The 14,924-nt window shown below is 47.0% G+C and overlaps 1 protein-coding gene across 16 annotated transcripts in view, besides 4 other annotated features; it reads left to right on the plus strand.

Annotated features, from left to right (window-relative positions):
• The window catches only part of NRP2 (neuropilin 2), a 115,631-nt gene that overhangs the window by 53,843 nt on the left and 46,864 nt on the right, over window positions 1-14,924 (plus strand). For 15 of the 16 annotated variants that reach the window (XR_007083522.1, XR_923057.4, NM_201266.2 and 12 more), the window contains 4 exons: window positions 4,176-4,320; window positions 6,860-7,209; window positions 9,403-9,547; window positions 13,382-13,498. Coding sequence is in view for 14 of the 16 variants with exons in the window: in NM_201266.2 (NP_957718.1) it covers window positions 4,176-4,320; window positions 6,860-7,209; window positions 9,403-9,547; window positions 13,382-13,498 (757 nt within the window). In the remaining 2 variants the exon portion in view is untranslated. Of the gene's footprint in view, window positions 1-4,175; window positions 4,321-6,859; window positions 7,356-9,402; window positions 9,548-13,381; window positions 13,499-14,924 lie in introns of those variants that run through there. The other variant, NM_201264.2, reaches the window with a different exon arrangement.
• Window positions 10,294-10,845: an enhancer, noted in NCBI's record as "H3K27ac-H3K4me1 hESC enhancer chr2:206611361-206611912 (GRCh37/hg19 assembly coordinates)". NCBI's record gives its function as "activates a minimal SCP1, AML or CMV promoter by ChIP-STARR-seq in primed H9 embryonic stem cells {active_cell/tissue: H9 hESC(primed)}" and the evidence as "EXISTENCE:reporter gene assay evidence [ECO:0000049][PMID:30033119]".
• Window positions 11,812-12,435: an enhancer, noted in NCBI's record as "NANOG-H3K27ac hESC enhancer chr2:206612879-206613502 (GRCh37/hg19 assembly coordinates)". NCBI's record gives its function as "activates a minimal SCP1, AML or CMV promoter by ChIP-STARR-seq in primed H9 embryonic stem cells {active_cell/tissue: H9 hESC(primed)}" and the evidence as "EXISTENCE:reporter gene assay evidence [ECO:0000049][PMID:30033119]".
• Window positions 12,436-13,059: an enhancer, noted in NCBI's record as "NANOG-H3K27ac hESC enhancer chr2:206613503-206614126 (GRCh37/hg19 assembly coordinates)". NCBI's record gives its function as "activates a minimal SCP1, AML or CMV promoter by ChIP-STARR-seq in primed H9 embryonic stem cells {active_cell/tissue: H9 hESC(primed)}" and the evidence as "EXISTENCE:reporter gene assay evidence [ECO:0000049][PMID:30033119]".
• Window positions 13,060-13,682: an enhancer, noted in NCBI's record as "H3K27ac hESC enhancer chr2:206614127-206614749 (GRCh37/hg19 assembly coordinates)". NCBI's record gives its function as "activates a minimal SCP1, AML or CMV promoter by ChIP-STARR-seq in primed H9 embryonic stem cells {active_cell/tissue: H9 hESC(primed)}" and the evidence as "EXISTENCE:reporter gene assay evidence [ECO:0000049][PMID:30033119]".

Raw genomic sequence — 14,924 nt, forward strand, 5'->3', positions numbered from 1 at the left:
AAATAAATAAATTAAATTAAATAAATAAAAAATATATGTCCTCTGTGACATCCAGCTTCTAAAGCAGATGTTAACATTCCTATCTGAGTATAACATACAAGGCAACCCACCGATTTTTCTCAGATACCTCACTGCAAAGTTGTCATCTGAAAATTGTTGGCCTGAAGGTGGGACTTGGGAGTAGTCGTGGCTTTTGGAACTTAAACTCTCCCACCTGTGCAAAGACCCACTTGTTACTTGTGACCTGGCTTACACGCTAACATTTGTCCTGGGTGCTATGCAAGCCTTGGAGGGAGGGCCAGTAAACTTAAGTGTCTATCTGCAAGCCTATTATCGACTTTATTTTCCTGAAGGAGAAACCAAGGTATCTAAGGTTTATTGATTTGCCTATAATGATTCAGTGAGTTGTCAGGGAATAGGGAATAAAACCAATTTCCTGGCGTCATTTCCCATGCACACAACCCCTTACCTTGCAATGCCTAGACTGGAAGCCAAGAATCCATCTCAGTGAATTTGATCAGAAAACATATGAAGGGTGATTCTAAAACCACAGAAGCATTGAGAAAGTCATAAAGATGTATAATATATGATAGCATTTACTAGCTATAAATAGGGGAGATGCAGGGAGAAAAATAGAGACCTTGTAAAACCATTGGGTCAGGATAAATAGAAACTGCTTAATATTTCATTAAAAATGGATTTTCATAAATTGCACTTTGATATCTTTGGGCAAAAGACAATATGTAAGGACTAAGGCGTTGTTATTCATTACTCTTTGTTATTAATAATTTGAACTGGTATTGAACCAACACATCAACAAGGTATAGTCGCCCTGTGAATGGGGCACTCCCCATGTGTTCTGGGCACTATTCAAAGTGTATAAAAAGTCCACAGCCACCGTCTGCAAAAGCACTTAGGCTGTAAGGGACAACGGGTAACTAAAGTGCCCTGTTGCAAAATGGACACTGTTAGAGCAGTTCAAACCACAAAAAGTCATGCGAAGAAAGGTTTAGAAGCAGGGGACCAGAGAGAACCCTACAAATCAACTCATACAATCCCCTCATTTAACAGAGGAGGAAATTGGGGCCCGAGGGAGGTAGAGATATTTGCCCACACTTATGAGCTAATTAGCCGCAGAGCACAGCTCCTGGCTTCTGATTCAGTAGTGTTTTGTGTGTGTGTGTTGTTTTTCCCACTATACCACACTCAGAGTGAGAGGTGTGTTAAAAAATCTAATAAGATGGTGTTCCTTCACCATCCAAAGAACAGAAGGCAGATGTGAACACAAAGTCAAGAGCAGACAAGAAAACAGTTCAGGAACTAGGCTTGGAAACGTGAAGGGTAATTTGAAGCTAAGTTGAAAAGATCCTTCATTTGATTCAAGGGTGGGAGAAGAGTGGGCAAAATGAAAGGGCAGACTGAAGTTCAATTGAAGCAGTCAGGTAGATGGCCTAGGGGACACAAACTGTGTGCTTGCCTCCCTTCCTGAGTGGTGCTACTGTAAGCAGAGATTAGGGGGTTCACCCAGAGCCTGTGGCCACATGTATCCATGGGAAGACTGACCCCCTCCCTCAGCTCATACATGCGAGTGCGTGCAGCCCATGCCCATGTGAGCCACACTCATGCACACACCGCCATCCCAAAGACAGTCCAAATACACAATCATTTACTCATTGAGGAAAGAAAAGGTCTCTTAGCGTTGCCTGCCAAGGCTGAGAAATGCAGGGGTCGGATAAGATAAAATTGGATATTAACAACACATAAGACATGCTGTGTTTCTAAACGGTACCAGCGTGGTGTGTATGCTGTGGATTAGCGGCAGTGTTAAAGTTCAGATCCACTCAACTTTCCAATTATGCATTCACGTGACAAGTAAAGCTTTTTTCACCCAATGTGAACTCCTTAGCGTCTCCTGATGGCGACCACACACACAGTCCCCATCACCATCTTCAGAGAGCAAGCCAGTGGAGGCCCCCCTGCTGCTGCTCACAACACCCATCCGAAATAAGCAAAGTGCTGCATTTGCTTCTTCCTTTCCAAAACAAAACAAAGCAAAGCAAAACAAAACAAAACAGAAAGCCTCTGCCTCATGCTGAATTCTCAGAGAACTGATGAATCTCTTTTCTTTGGATCCAGTTCCCCATCCCTTTCCTGAGAGCTGTGGAGCCCTTTTTCAGTACGAAGGAAGTAGGGTCAGTCACCACTCCCCTTGGGCCTTCTCCAGGGTGTCTGGCCCTAACCTTCTTTCCTTCCCTTTGCTTGGCTTTTCTCCTTCCCTCGCTAACTTGGTCTTCTCACTCCTTCTCATCCACAATCGCTATACAGGAAGCAGCAAAATCAAACCTGGGAGAGAGGCATGACTAACAAGTTCTTTCCCGGTGCTCCCTGCTGTCAACCTTAGGACCCGGGTGGGAGGACTTCCCAGGGGAGGAGAGGGAGCAGCAGGCTGGGTGCGCAGGGGGCACCCCCAGATTTGGTGGACTTCGCACCAGATCAATGGTTTAAACTGAATATGGTGGACCAGCGAAAATCTGCTTCCCTGTTTGTCTTCAGCCAGCCACTTCCCTTCATTTACTTGCAAAAGGTATGGTGTCTTCAGTGGTGTGTTATTAAATGGCTCTAACTTTTAACCTTAGCAAGCAGGAAATAGGGCTGTTAAATGATGGAGTTCACAGTTCATGGGGAAGAAAGGACTGTGTTGTCAATTGGCTGTAGACTTCTGTGCTGCTCTTTGCCATTACTCAAAGCCATTCTAAGGTGGGATTATAAACTCACACTGGAAACACATCACTGGACAGTGACTCTACCTCCATTCAGCCCATGCCTGGAGACTTTAAGGGCCCCATGACTCCCAGCCACCAGCATAAACACTGCAAATGTGTTAGAAGAAACTACAAGCTTAAAACCTAAAAACTTGGCAAGGATGTTGGATCCAGACAGGCATCTCTGAGCCTCAGTTTCCTTATCCAATGAAGTGGAGATAAGAATATCTACCTTCTGGGGTACTATAGATATAATTGTTTATACTCAAAGATATTTTGTTGCATCTGGCTGAAAAGTCTTCAAATATACCAGTTTCCCCAGTTCTCTTGTCCCAGCCCTGTTGGTGCCCCCAAACACTTGGCATGGTCTGAATATCAGGAGCCGAAACATCTAGTTCTCCTAAGCAGGAGAAGTCGCTGATGGTTGCAGAGTTGGCTGTAAGTAGATTTACAGAGTCCCTTGGTTGTTACAGCTATGACAGAAATGATTTAGAAGTGATGGTTGGTTAGTTGGTTTTTCCCTCTACCCTTATTCAGGAAAACCAAGGGAAACTCACATATACTTTGCTCTAGTTACTTTTTTTTTTTTTTTTTTTTGAGCAGAGAGCACAAAAAAGCATAAGGTCCATATGGCAGTTATTGATCTGGGCCATCTGGAAAGCCAGGACTTGCTCCCACCATGTAGGATCAGAAGCTGTTCCAAAAAGCCTTCCCTCCCATAAGAGATGTATTGGTCAGATGGGGACAGGGATGGATTTCATTACAGGGCAGGACTACAGTGAGAGGAAGCTGGAGCAGGACTCTGAAGGACTGTCTGCAACCCTGACCCTGCCACAAAGATCAGAGAGAACCAAGAAAGTGTTGATTGACACAGGGCCATTGTAGGTAGAGGGTGCCCCTCATCATCTTGTCCGCTCATGGGTGGGATGGCATCAAGTAACTAACAAAAACAACCGTGAAGCACTTTGCAATTAGAAAATGCTCTGCAAATATTCCTAGGTGCCTGCAACATGAGGAAGAGGGAGTGTCAAGTTCAAGCTAGTGAGTGAGGTCTGGTAGCCCTAAAAGATGATATTTTTACTTCATTTTAAACAGATATTCTACTTTTCTCTTTCTTCCTTAGCTTCTCAAGTGTTTTCCTTCTTCTGCCTGCTCTCAGCCTGGAGGCAAAATTTTCCTTCCCTCTAAAAGTTTCTGGGAAGACCACTGATAATTTTCAAGTAGAACAGTGTGAGAAATTAATTTTTTTTACAGTGTTTCTTTAAAAAGCCCAAAACAACATACCCACTGATTATTTTTAAGCTTGAGGGAAAGAAAATTTGACAGAACTTTCCCATCCCCTTCAAAGACTGCTCAAGTGGCTGAACTACAAACAGGGGTTTCAATAACATGGTTTTGCATCTTACGCTACAGGTATTTCAAGCCAACAACGATGCAACTGAGGTGGTTCTGAACAAGCTCCACGCTCCACTGCTGACAAGGTTTGTTAGAATCCGCCCTCAGACCTGGCACTCAGGTATCGCCCTCCGGCTGGAGCTCTTCGGCTGCCGGGTCACAGGTGAGGTGGGGGCTCCAATGAGGTTGGGGTGCTGATTGAGCCCTAGGCTCTGCTCCCTTTCAACTCTCTGCAAACAGCATGACTGCACCACATGACCTTCCCAGAAAGACTGGCTCAAGGACTCAAGTCCTACCAGAGTTTGTCTTTTCATTCATTCATTCAGTATACATTTATTAAGCATCTACGATTTCTATTAATAGCTAACATTTATGGAATGCTAACTAGGTACAGATGCCATTCTAAGCACCTAAGATGTAACATATTTTATTATCCTCATAAGGACTCCATGGGTATTATTCTCCTCACTTTACAGATGAGGAAACCAAGACTTAAAGAGCTAGGTCACTCACCAGTAAGTGGTAGAGCCATGGTTTGAATCTAGGCAGTTCCAGTCCAAAGCCCTTGCTTTCAAATAACACTCTCTGCTGCCTCAACCGGGGGCCAAGAGCTGTGCATGGTGCTGTGGACACAAAGGTGGGCACAACAGACTGTTCTGTGTGGGCATATGGACAAGTTGGGCAGACATACTGATAAACTCATAAATAAATATAAAATCAAAACTATGATCAATGTCTGGACATAGAGGCTTATGGTCCTTGGAAGTACATCGTAGGGGATTTGACCCAGCCTAGGAGCTCAAGGAAGACTTCTTTGAGGAGGTGATGATTGAGGTGAGGTTAGAAGGCAAATAACAGACATTACCTGGTGAAGAAGGGAGGGAAGGTGCACCAGGCAATGGTCACAGCTTTCTCAATGGCACGGTGGCAAGAGGGACCAAAAGAGGAAGTGAGGAGCATGGACACAGCTTGTGGGCTGAAACCCAAGGCATGTAGATTGGAGAAGACCAGAGTGGGAGTTGGGACATTATAGGAGGCAATGCAGGGGGTGCAGATGGGAGATGATGATGGCTGGATTAGCCCCAGAAATTTATGGACAGACCAATCCCCTTTATCTTGTGGGCTCAGCCCAGGGCAGGCAAGTTGCCTCTTTGACCTGGAAGTGTCTTCAGTGTACATCCATCCACGTGCCTTTCCCCTAATCATTCCAGCTCTGACAGGGAGTGCTCCAAGGTCTGACCCTGTTTGAGGTTTCTAGTTAAAACACCTTGTGTTTGTACAGTCTCTGCATCTCCACATGCCTTTCTTGTTTATCATCTTGCCTACACTTTCTAACAACCCTGTGAGGTAAGGTGGGCCAGGGACTGATAAGGAAACCAAGACTCAAAGAGGCTAAATAGCTTGCCCAAAGTCATTCAACTAGGAGGTGACAGAGCCAGGATCTGAACCCACGTTTTCTCAATTCAAATTCTCTGCTCTTACCACATTTACACAAAGACCCATTTTCTTCTAATGGGATCAGTTTATGCTAATCCTGTCTAGGGGACTATTTTCTGTCCCTTCCCTGTTGCTGTTCCAGGATAATCAGCAAAGATTTAGGTAGAGGTCATTCTCTGGAAGATTGAAAGGAGAGAACCAGTGATTTTGAAGAAGGGGAACAACGTGGAGGATCTTTTTTATCCATAGCTCAGTTTGCAAGTATGAAATGCACATTGACTATAGACCCTGCCTTGCCTGACATCATTTATTCATGCATTCTCCACTCAATCATTTGTTCCACACATCTGATGTGCCAGGCACACACTGGGAATGGGACATAGAGACAGGAACAAAATAGATGGGGTCTCTGACATCGTAGAACTTTCAGGCTACTGAGCAAGATAGATAATAAACAAATGCAAGTACTGGATAAACTAGAATGTGCACATGAAGGAAAAGAACAGGGTGCTCTGAGGGAAACCAATTTAGTGAGGATTGAAAATTTGGGAACAGCTTTTCTGTGGATATGACACTTGAGCTTGGGGGTAAGAAAATGTTAGTCTGGGGGTGACTGAAGGGAAAAGCATTTGGGGTAATGGGAACAGCATGTGGGAAGGATCCAAGGCAGTAAAGAGCAGTTATTTGGGAAGTAAAGACCTGATACTGATGCCAGGAAGGTTTCCTTCTACTTGGCAAAACAATTACTAGGAAATAATTCAATGTTTAGCTCAGTTCCCCTGTTCTCAGTGTCCCTGATAGGGTCAGTGGGGACTAGTGTCATCGACAGGGATGTGCAGACACACATTCTGAGAGTCCTTGGTTAGAGCTGTAAGCACAAATAGTTAATGGCCATTGGATACTTAAATATGCCAGGCACCATCCTGTGAGCTCTTAGTAACTAACAGAATCCTTGCAACAGCCCTCAAGAGGTAGGCACCTCTATTAGCTCCCCTTTAGATCTAAGGAAACTGAGGCAAAGAGCAATTAAATAATTTGCCCAAGGCCCTCTGACTAGTAAGTGGCAGAGTGAACATGAACACAGGCAGTCTAGCTCTGAGTCCAGGCTCTTAACCACAGTGCTGTACACATTCACCATGCAAAGAAATTAGTGCTGACTTAGTATTTGACAGTTGGGCTCTTTTGCAGCTCCCTTCTTATAGCGGGTGGTCCCTGGTTAGCAGGTGTCAGCCATGACCTCTTGTATCTTCCTCTCCTCTCTGCAGATGCTCCCTGCTCCAACATGCTGGGGATGCTCTCAGGCCTCATTGCAGACTCCCAGATCTCCGCCTCTTCCACCCAGGAATACCTCTGGAGCCCCAGTGCAGCCCGCCTGGTTAGCAGCCGCTCGGGCTGGTTCCCTCGAATCCCTCAGGCCCAGCCCGGTGAGGAGTGGCTTCAGGTAGATCTGGGAACACCCAAGACAGTGAAAGGTGTCATCATCCAGGGAGCCCGCGGAGGAGACAGTATCACTGCTGTGGAAGCCAGAGCATTTGTGCGCAAGTTCAAAGTCTCCTACAGCCTAAACGGCAAGGACTGGGAATACATTCAGGACCCCAGGACCCAGCAGCCAAAGGTAGGCTGTTCTTGGAGGCCTCTGTAACGTTACCCTCAACAGGGAGGCTAAGTGTGGTACAGGGAGTTGAGACTGATGATGTCCCATCTAAACAGTCGTCATCCAACTCCTGAAATCCAATAAAACAAATATCGTTTGAGAGATTACTTTGTGCCAGGCACTGTGCTAAATACCTTATTTCTGACTCTTTTGTTTGTTTGTTTGTTTGTTTTTGAGATGGAGTCTCTGTCACCCAGGCTGGAGTGCAGTGGCCTGTTCTCGGCTCACTGCAACCTCCGCCTCCAGGGTTCAAGCGATTCTCCAGCCTCAGCCTCCTGAGTGGCTGGGATTACAGGTGCCCGCCACCACACCTAGCTAATTTTTGTATTTCTGGTAGAGATGGGGTTTCACCGTATTGGTCAGGCTGGTCTCGAACTCCTGACCTCAAGTGATCCACTTGCCTTGGCCTCTCAAAGTGCTGGGATTATAGGCATGAACCACCGCGCCCGGCCTGGACTCTTTTTTAATCGTTACAACATCTGTGCAAAGTAGATCTTTTTGTCACTCCCATTTTAGAGATGATAAACTGACACTTGATATCATGCCCAGGGTCACACAGTTCACCTGTGATAGAGCCGATTCAGAAACCGGAAGTCTGACTCCAAAGTCCAGATGCCTAACCCCTACTGAACACTGCCTTTTTATAAAGTTCAACACTCTTTATACACTCTTTCAGATAAAGTTTCCTTGAAATTGGCCAGACATCTAAAGGGGATGTGGTTTTTGGAGGCCAAGCTATAGAAACTAGAGGATGACTTCCAAAAATAACGATGTTTTTCTGAATGTCGCTGCATTCCTTTGTATTCTCCTAGTTTTGACTGCTTAGATCTTTCCGGCCTCTCAGACTGAGGCAAGGGAGAAGCAAGAGAAACTCACCCCGAGCCAGAAGCTCAGGCCAGTACAGCTTACTCCCCTGCCACCAGAGTGAAGGTCAGCCTTCAACACAGACACAAGGAGCCCCAGAAGGGGAGGAGACGTCATACCTCTGTCCCTCCCCAGATCAGTCTCCTGGCAGGCCAGGCTCTCTGATTCTTATCTCTAGTTACCCCTTGTTTTTCTCAAAAGAACAGGTCCCTAAAAAAGGAGGGAGTTTGCATGTCTCGGGGCCACCTTTGCTAAGCAAATGTCTCCATTCTGAATACAGAGGCAAGAGTTGGGTTGGAGGTTTTGCGATGCTGAGGTAAACTCCCAGCTCTCAACTCCAGAGGCTTAGAAAGGCTCAGGGCTTGGTAACTGGAACCTTGCATCGATGGAGCAGAAGTTGGACCGCAGGCTTCCCCATGGAGAGCTGAGCCTGGTTTTTCTTGGGAAAGAAGTTGATCTTTGCCATTGTGGGAGACAGCCCTATCCGAGACAGTGCTTCTGGTTCAGAATTGTGGACGCAGGGCATCCTGAAAACTGGAGCGGTCCTGCTGAATTTCTGGGGGCTAATCAGCTGCAGGCCCTGGCCACCCACTCCTGTCCTTCCCCCGGATGAGTGTCTCCAAGTGTACTCTAGGCTGGTCCTCCAAAGCAGCCCCCTGCTCCCCGCATCATCAGTTTTATGTACTGGGGCTCCATGTGAGGTTTCTTTTGACAGGAGTGCTTTCCCTAAACAAAGGTTTGGGAAACAGTCTAAGACTATCGATGTGTGACCAGAAGACAGTGTCATTGGCCTAGGGGTCATTTTCCCGTAAGGTTCTCAGTGAGCTAGGAACTATCAGTCAGCTTGGGTTACCTCAATGGAGGCTTTCACACATTAGAAAAAGAAGTGTTCCTTTCCCTGTAGACCAGGAATTCAGAACGGTCAAAGATCGCCCAAACTGCCTTCCCCCCTCTCTAGCCAAAGTCAGCTGAAAACGCAGTTGGAGCCAAATTCTTCCCCAGATACTCCATTTTAGTCACCAGGTAAAAGACACAACCTGGAAATTGCCACCTTTGTTTACTTCCTATTTTCCATAATTCTGGGTCCATAACCACCTTCCAAATGAATAAAATCCTTGGTCTGAAAATGAAGCTCGCGTGGATCAGAATGTCCCAGTGACCAGGAATCAACTAGGAAGCTGCCTTCCTAGCAGGACGTGCGGGGCAGGGAGGAGAAGGGGAAGGAAAGGGAAGAAGGTGATAGGGACTGGGTCCCACACCAGAAGGGCTGAGTGGCCTCTCTCCCTGCAGCTGTTCGAAGGGAACATGCACTATGACACCCCTGACATCCGAAGGTTTGACCCCATTCCGGCACAGTATGTGCGGGTATACCCGGAGAGGTGGTCGCCGGCGGGGATTGGGATGCGGCTGGAGGTGCTGGGCTGTGACTGGACAGGTAAGATGACATTTCCTCCTCTTTGCATCTCACCCACATGGTCCTCTGACCCTGGCATCCCACGAGGCCCTGGGAGGGCTGTGGAGGGGGCAGCCATCCCAGGAGCTGGAAATGCTGCAGACCCCTGCCATGTTCTCCTGCCTCAGACCACGGGTACTGCAGCCTCTGGACTTGGGACAGTTTCTCAAGGGATGTACTTTGTCTTTTTTAAGGGATCATTTCAGTTCTCCAACCCGAGTCTCTCAAAAACAAATCATAACCACACACCACCCACCCAAATTCAATTAGACCCTGGCTCTTCAGGCCAGAGGGCTGTGGCTGTTGATTTAGGGAAGAAAAAAACCCCTCATGATAATAAAGTAATCGGTTTATGTCTGAATCTGGCCTCCAGATGTCAGTGGCTAAGAGACTTCATTTTCATTTCGGAGCCACATCTGTAAAAGGCATTTATTTGCTCAGGAGGGACCCTGTTGCAGGGAGCTGATGGGGGCAGGACTCCTTCTCATTGTCCTGCTCATTCCTGCCAGGTGGCCCAGGCCTTGGGGAACACCTCTCATCATTCCAAATGAGGGTGAGGCCCACGGAGGGTGCCCAGCCTTCCTGGTTTCCGAGGGAGGGCCCTGCCCTTCTGAGTCAGGCCCTACCTTCCTTTCCTTGGGTCGCCAGCCCTCCTCCCTCAGCAGAGCTGGCACCAGATCTTACCCAGAGCTCACTCACTGCCTGCCAAAAGGAGTTTGTGGGAGCCACTGGGGCTCAGGGACTGAGCCTGATGCCAGCAGGAGCAGCCACCAGCCTGAGCTATCCTGCCCTCCTCCGCCAGAGCCCCAGGTATCCCCATTTTCCTGTCTGTGCCGTACCTGTCACGGGCTCAGCCGGCAGGATGGCATGAGGGATTAATAAGGGCATGTCGGAGAAGTGCTTTTGGCTCCCAGGGAGAAAAATGCTGCCTGTATGCTGGCTACAGCAGCGCAGAGGAGCCCTGTTGAGGCACACGGGCTGGGAATTGGGCCCAAATTAGCCTCCTCACTTTTGAATTGAAGGCAGCCCCAGCGAACACATCTTCATAGGAAGACACTTAACTCCCCATTACCTGGGGATGAGGCCAAAGTTCCCTGCAGCCTGCTAAACGTGTGTCACCCGTCCTCTCACAGGTGCAGAAAACCTCCCCCCGATACAAGCTGGCTTCATTTATGTGCCCTGGAATCAGGGGCTCAGCGCTGTAGGGGATCCAGGAGCTTGTAAGCCAGTGGCTTTCACACACTTCTGCCCATGATACACAATTTAAAATAATTTTCCTTCACAACCCGCTTCACTTATAAGCACTCACACACAGTGGTGTATACGGGGTACAGTGTATGGGTAAGTGCTTGGACTCTGGAGACAGATTGCCAAGTTCAAGTCCTGCCCCTGCCATTGGCTGGCTGCATAACCTCAGAAAAGTTAGTCTCTCAGCGCCTTGGTTATCTTAGCTGAAAAATGGAGAGGACAATAGTCTGTCTACCCCATAGGGTCATTGTGAGGATTAAATGAATGAATGGATGTGAAATACTTAGACTACTGCCTGCACCCAGCAAACCTGTTATGATAAATAACTGTAACTGAAACAAAAGGTTCCCAAAGCAATGGTCATCTTAACCATGGAAGTGCACTCCAAAATATTATAGTCGGTATGTTTTAAAAGCTGGTCATGACCTATTCGACGGATTCCACAACCCAATGATGAGAGTGATGCGTGGTTTGGGAAATATCACAGACCTGGGCCAATTCCTCTTTCATAGACAAGGAAACAGCCCCAGAAGGTAGAAGTCACTTGCCAGAGGTCACTCAGCTGGATGAAGTCCACCTCATTCTTCCCCCCATCCCTTGCCCTTCAGTGCCATGCCCTCCCAGTCTGGCCAGTGGGACAGTTGCTAATGACCTCTTTCCTTCATTGCTCCCCAATCCCAACATGCCCCAAATTACACTGGTGATGGTCAGTGACAGGTTTCTTATTTCAAAGCCCTGCCTGGCCATTCCTTGGAAGATCAGAGTTGAGGAGCGTTCCCCTCTGCCCAGCCTCCTTTCCTTTGAAGTCTCTGACATCTGGTTTCAATTTCAGGGGTAGCGTTGCTGTTTGATGGGCAGTTACCTTGGAGCACCCAGTACAAACATAGTACAAACAGTATAAACACCGAGGCCTCGGTGCCCGCCGTTCCTCCACTTTCATTTACACGCCCTGCCCTCCGGTGCCTCATTGGCCCCTGGGTTTAACATTCTTTACACCAATCAGCTGACCCATTTTGCTACCTAACATTTCCAGAAACTGTTCTCCATAGGTCACGTGGCTATGTTTGCTTTTCGAATTTCCATCTGTTTCTCACACTCATCTTCGGTTCACTTCTTCATCCCTATCCCAAAGGATAACAGGAAAAATAATGGGCTGGGCTGAGCTGCTGCAGCTAAATACTTTGACAGGGCTGCTTCACCTGTTAGTTGGTTTGTGTTTCAAATAATTATGTTTTGCCTTACTGCCCCATAGTTTGCTTTACAATCGAGTTTCTATGACACAGTGACAAACTTGAACTTACAAATTAGGACACTTCGAGGTTATTTGCTATTTACTGTGAGCAAAAGGCAGACACAGCAAAGGGAAGTATGAAAGGTTATGTGCGTAGTATTTAATAGCAGAAAGGTGGGAAGCCGACCGTGAAAAAGCTATTCAGCGTATTTAGCAATTTCCTCCAGCTCCTGGCTTTATTAAATGGTATCCTGAAGGGTGCCTGACAAAGGCGCCTAATCACATACAGTAGTGCAAAGGAGCATGTATAGAAATGAGAGGGACAAGGCACTGGCATCCTGTTGGAGGACAGCTCTGGGATGAAGACACCACCCCAAAACACATGGACTTGAGCACCAGTTTCCAGAACCCCTTTCACCCCACCCAGGGCCTGACTCATAGCTCCATTCACTCCCTCAATAGTTGCTGAATGAATGACGGGCATGAGCAAATAAGCAAATGAATAGGTGAATGAATCACCTAGAGCTGAGGTCAAAACCCCCTGCCTGCAGCCAGGTTTGGCCTAGCCAGGGTTCATTGTGTGCTACTTAGTATAACATTTTTAATAAGTTGCCAACATGTAGAGTCTGGAGATTTTACTTAGGGATTTTTGCTTTCTTGTTGGGGGAAGGAAAGGGGGAAAGATTTGGAAGACCTGGCCTGGCCACACTGGGCCACCTCCCCTCCAGGCCCCAGTCTGCTGGAGCCAGTCATGGAGGCCACCTTTAAACCAGGCATGTAAGATCCCAGCTTTCACCACCTCCTCTCTCTCCAACCTTCCCCTGCCCTCACAACCACGTCTGCTTTCCTCACTTACAGTAGGTGTTTGGATCCAGGAAACACTTGAACTTGCCACACCCTGACCTAAAGACATAGCCCCAAATCACTTTCACCATGTAGGGTCTGAGCCTCTTTAAATCCATATTCCCGTCCATCCAGTTTTGTGCAAACATGAGCCAGAGTGTGCTTTGGTCCTTCCTTGGAGTCAGCGTCGCCTGTAGCCCCCTCCATTATTGTCTCGTGGCCTTTTGTGCTAAACTCGGGGCCTCTGCTGTGGAGTAAAGAATGTGGGTTTGTGTCCCTACCTCTGTCACTGCTGGTTCTGCAACCCAGGACCATTCTCATTCTACTATGGTGATGCCCCTGACTTCGTTGACAGCACACAGACATGACTTCAGAGTTCCGTGCACATGTGTGCATCTTCTTTCCCTTCTCTAGAGATGTTTGGCATCTTCCTCCTGCTGGGTTGCAACACAGGCTGCTACAGCATTCTCTTATCTTCCTTTGCCCTTACACAGACTCCAAGCCCACGGTAGAGACGCTGGGACCCACTGTGAAGAGCGAAGAGACAACCACCCCCTACCCCACCGAAGAGGAGGCCACAGAGTGTGGGGAGAACTGCAGCTTTGAGGATGGTAAGCACAAATTGCCTCCAGATGGCATGGGTGCGGACTAGTCAGAGTGGGAGCTGGCCTGTGGCTGGACAGGGACCTAGTGGTCCCCCAGATCAGAGATCCAGGGGATCTCAAAGAAGTGGTAAGAGAGGTGGGGGCACTTAGGGGTTTGGGGCAGTGGCTGTTTACAACCAATGTAGAAGCATTTGGATAGTGTAACAACCAGTACAGCCCTACTGGTGTGAACCCACTAGACATCAGGTGAGACAAGGATGACTCCAAAGAGAACTCCTCTTTTGAGGAGTCTCATTTGTTGAGCCCTCACTATCTTGCTTGTCTGCTAAAGGAGAACCATTCTTATCCTTAGAATTCACAGCTCTGATAGTTTTTCCTGTTAAGCTGTGTGTGTATGCTACAGCGAAGTGAAGATACGGCAGTCATCTGGGTGATGGAGCGCGATAGTTGGGTTAATCCAGCAGTTACCTGTGACTTAATTGTGTTTCCCTGTGTCTTTCACCGCCACCAATTTGAGAAAGTATAACAGTGATGATTCTATAAGATAGTGCACTGTATCCTCTATAACTGGAGTGCAGATCAGAGACAAAGGCGGAAATGTAAAAAGGCATCTTCAACCGTTCCCTCAAAACTCAGGGGCTCCGCATTTCTGGATGGGTCCCATCACATGGGAAATTCTTTTCATTTATCTTCGGAGTATATCCAAGTTAGATAAAAACAATAATTGGCAGAATCCAAAAGTCAGTCACATTTTAAATCATACTGCTAAAGTCACCAAGTATGAGGACATTTATAAGAAACCACAAATTTTGGAACACCTGGCATTTTGGCTAGAATGTTAAGCTTGACAGCCTCAACTTACAGTAAATTACTGATCATTATTAAATGTTCATTAAACAAAATGAGGGAAGATTGGCAAAGAGACTAGAGAAGTGATGGAGACATAAAGATATAGGTAGATGGCAAAATCTGTGGAACCTGCAAGCACAGCCGTTTGACAGTTAGAGGAACTACACTGATGGAGTGGATGACTCCAGAAAATGGCTACAAAGAAGAATGGGAGGAAAGCCAAGAATAAATGCTGAAGTTATGTGACTGAAAAAGCAATAATTTAATGCATATGCTTTGGGGATTGTGCTTTCATATTATTGTGTGGGTGGGGGACACTGTTGGTCGGGGTTAGTTGAATACAGAATTCTGACATTTTAATGAACTTGTTTTTGTTTTATGGAGAGAAGAAGGAGACTTGGAGAATCTTCCAAGACATGTTTCAGATAGTTTGAGAGCCAAAAGTGGAATGCATAGGGAGTTAACATACGATATTGGATTTACAGAGTTAGCTTGTTGGGGGACCTGGAGTGGGGGTTCTAGCTAAATGACAATCAAAGGAAAAATTAAGGGTTCTGCTGCAAAATTTCAGAAGTTTATTTTT

The sequence above is a fragment of the Homo sapiens genome, chromosome 2 (assembly GCF_000001405.40).
Source record: "Homo sapiens chromosome 2, GRCh38.p14 Primary Assembly".
NCBI lineage: Eukaryota > Metazoa > Chordata > Mammalia > Primates > Hominidae > Homo > Homo sapiens.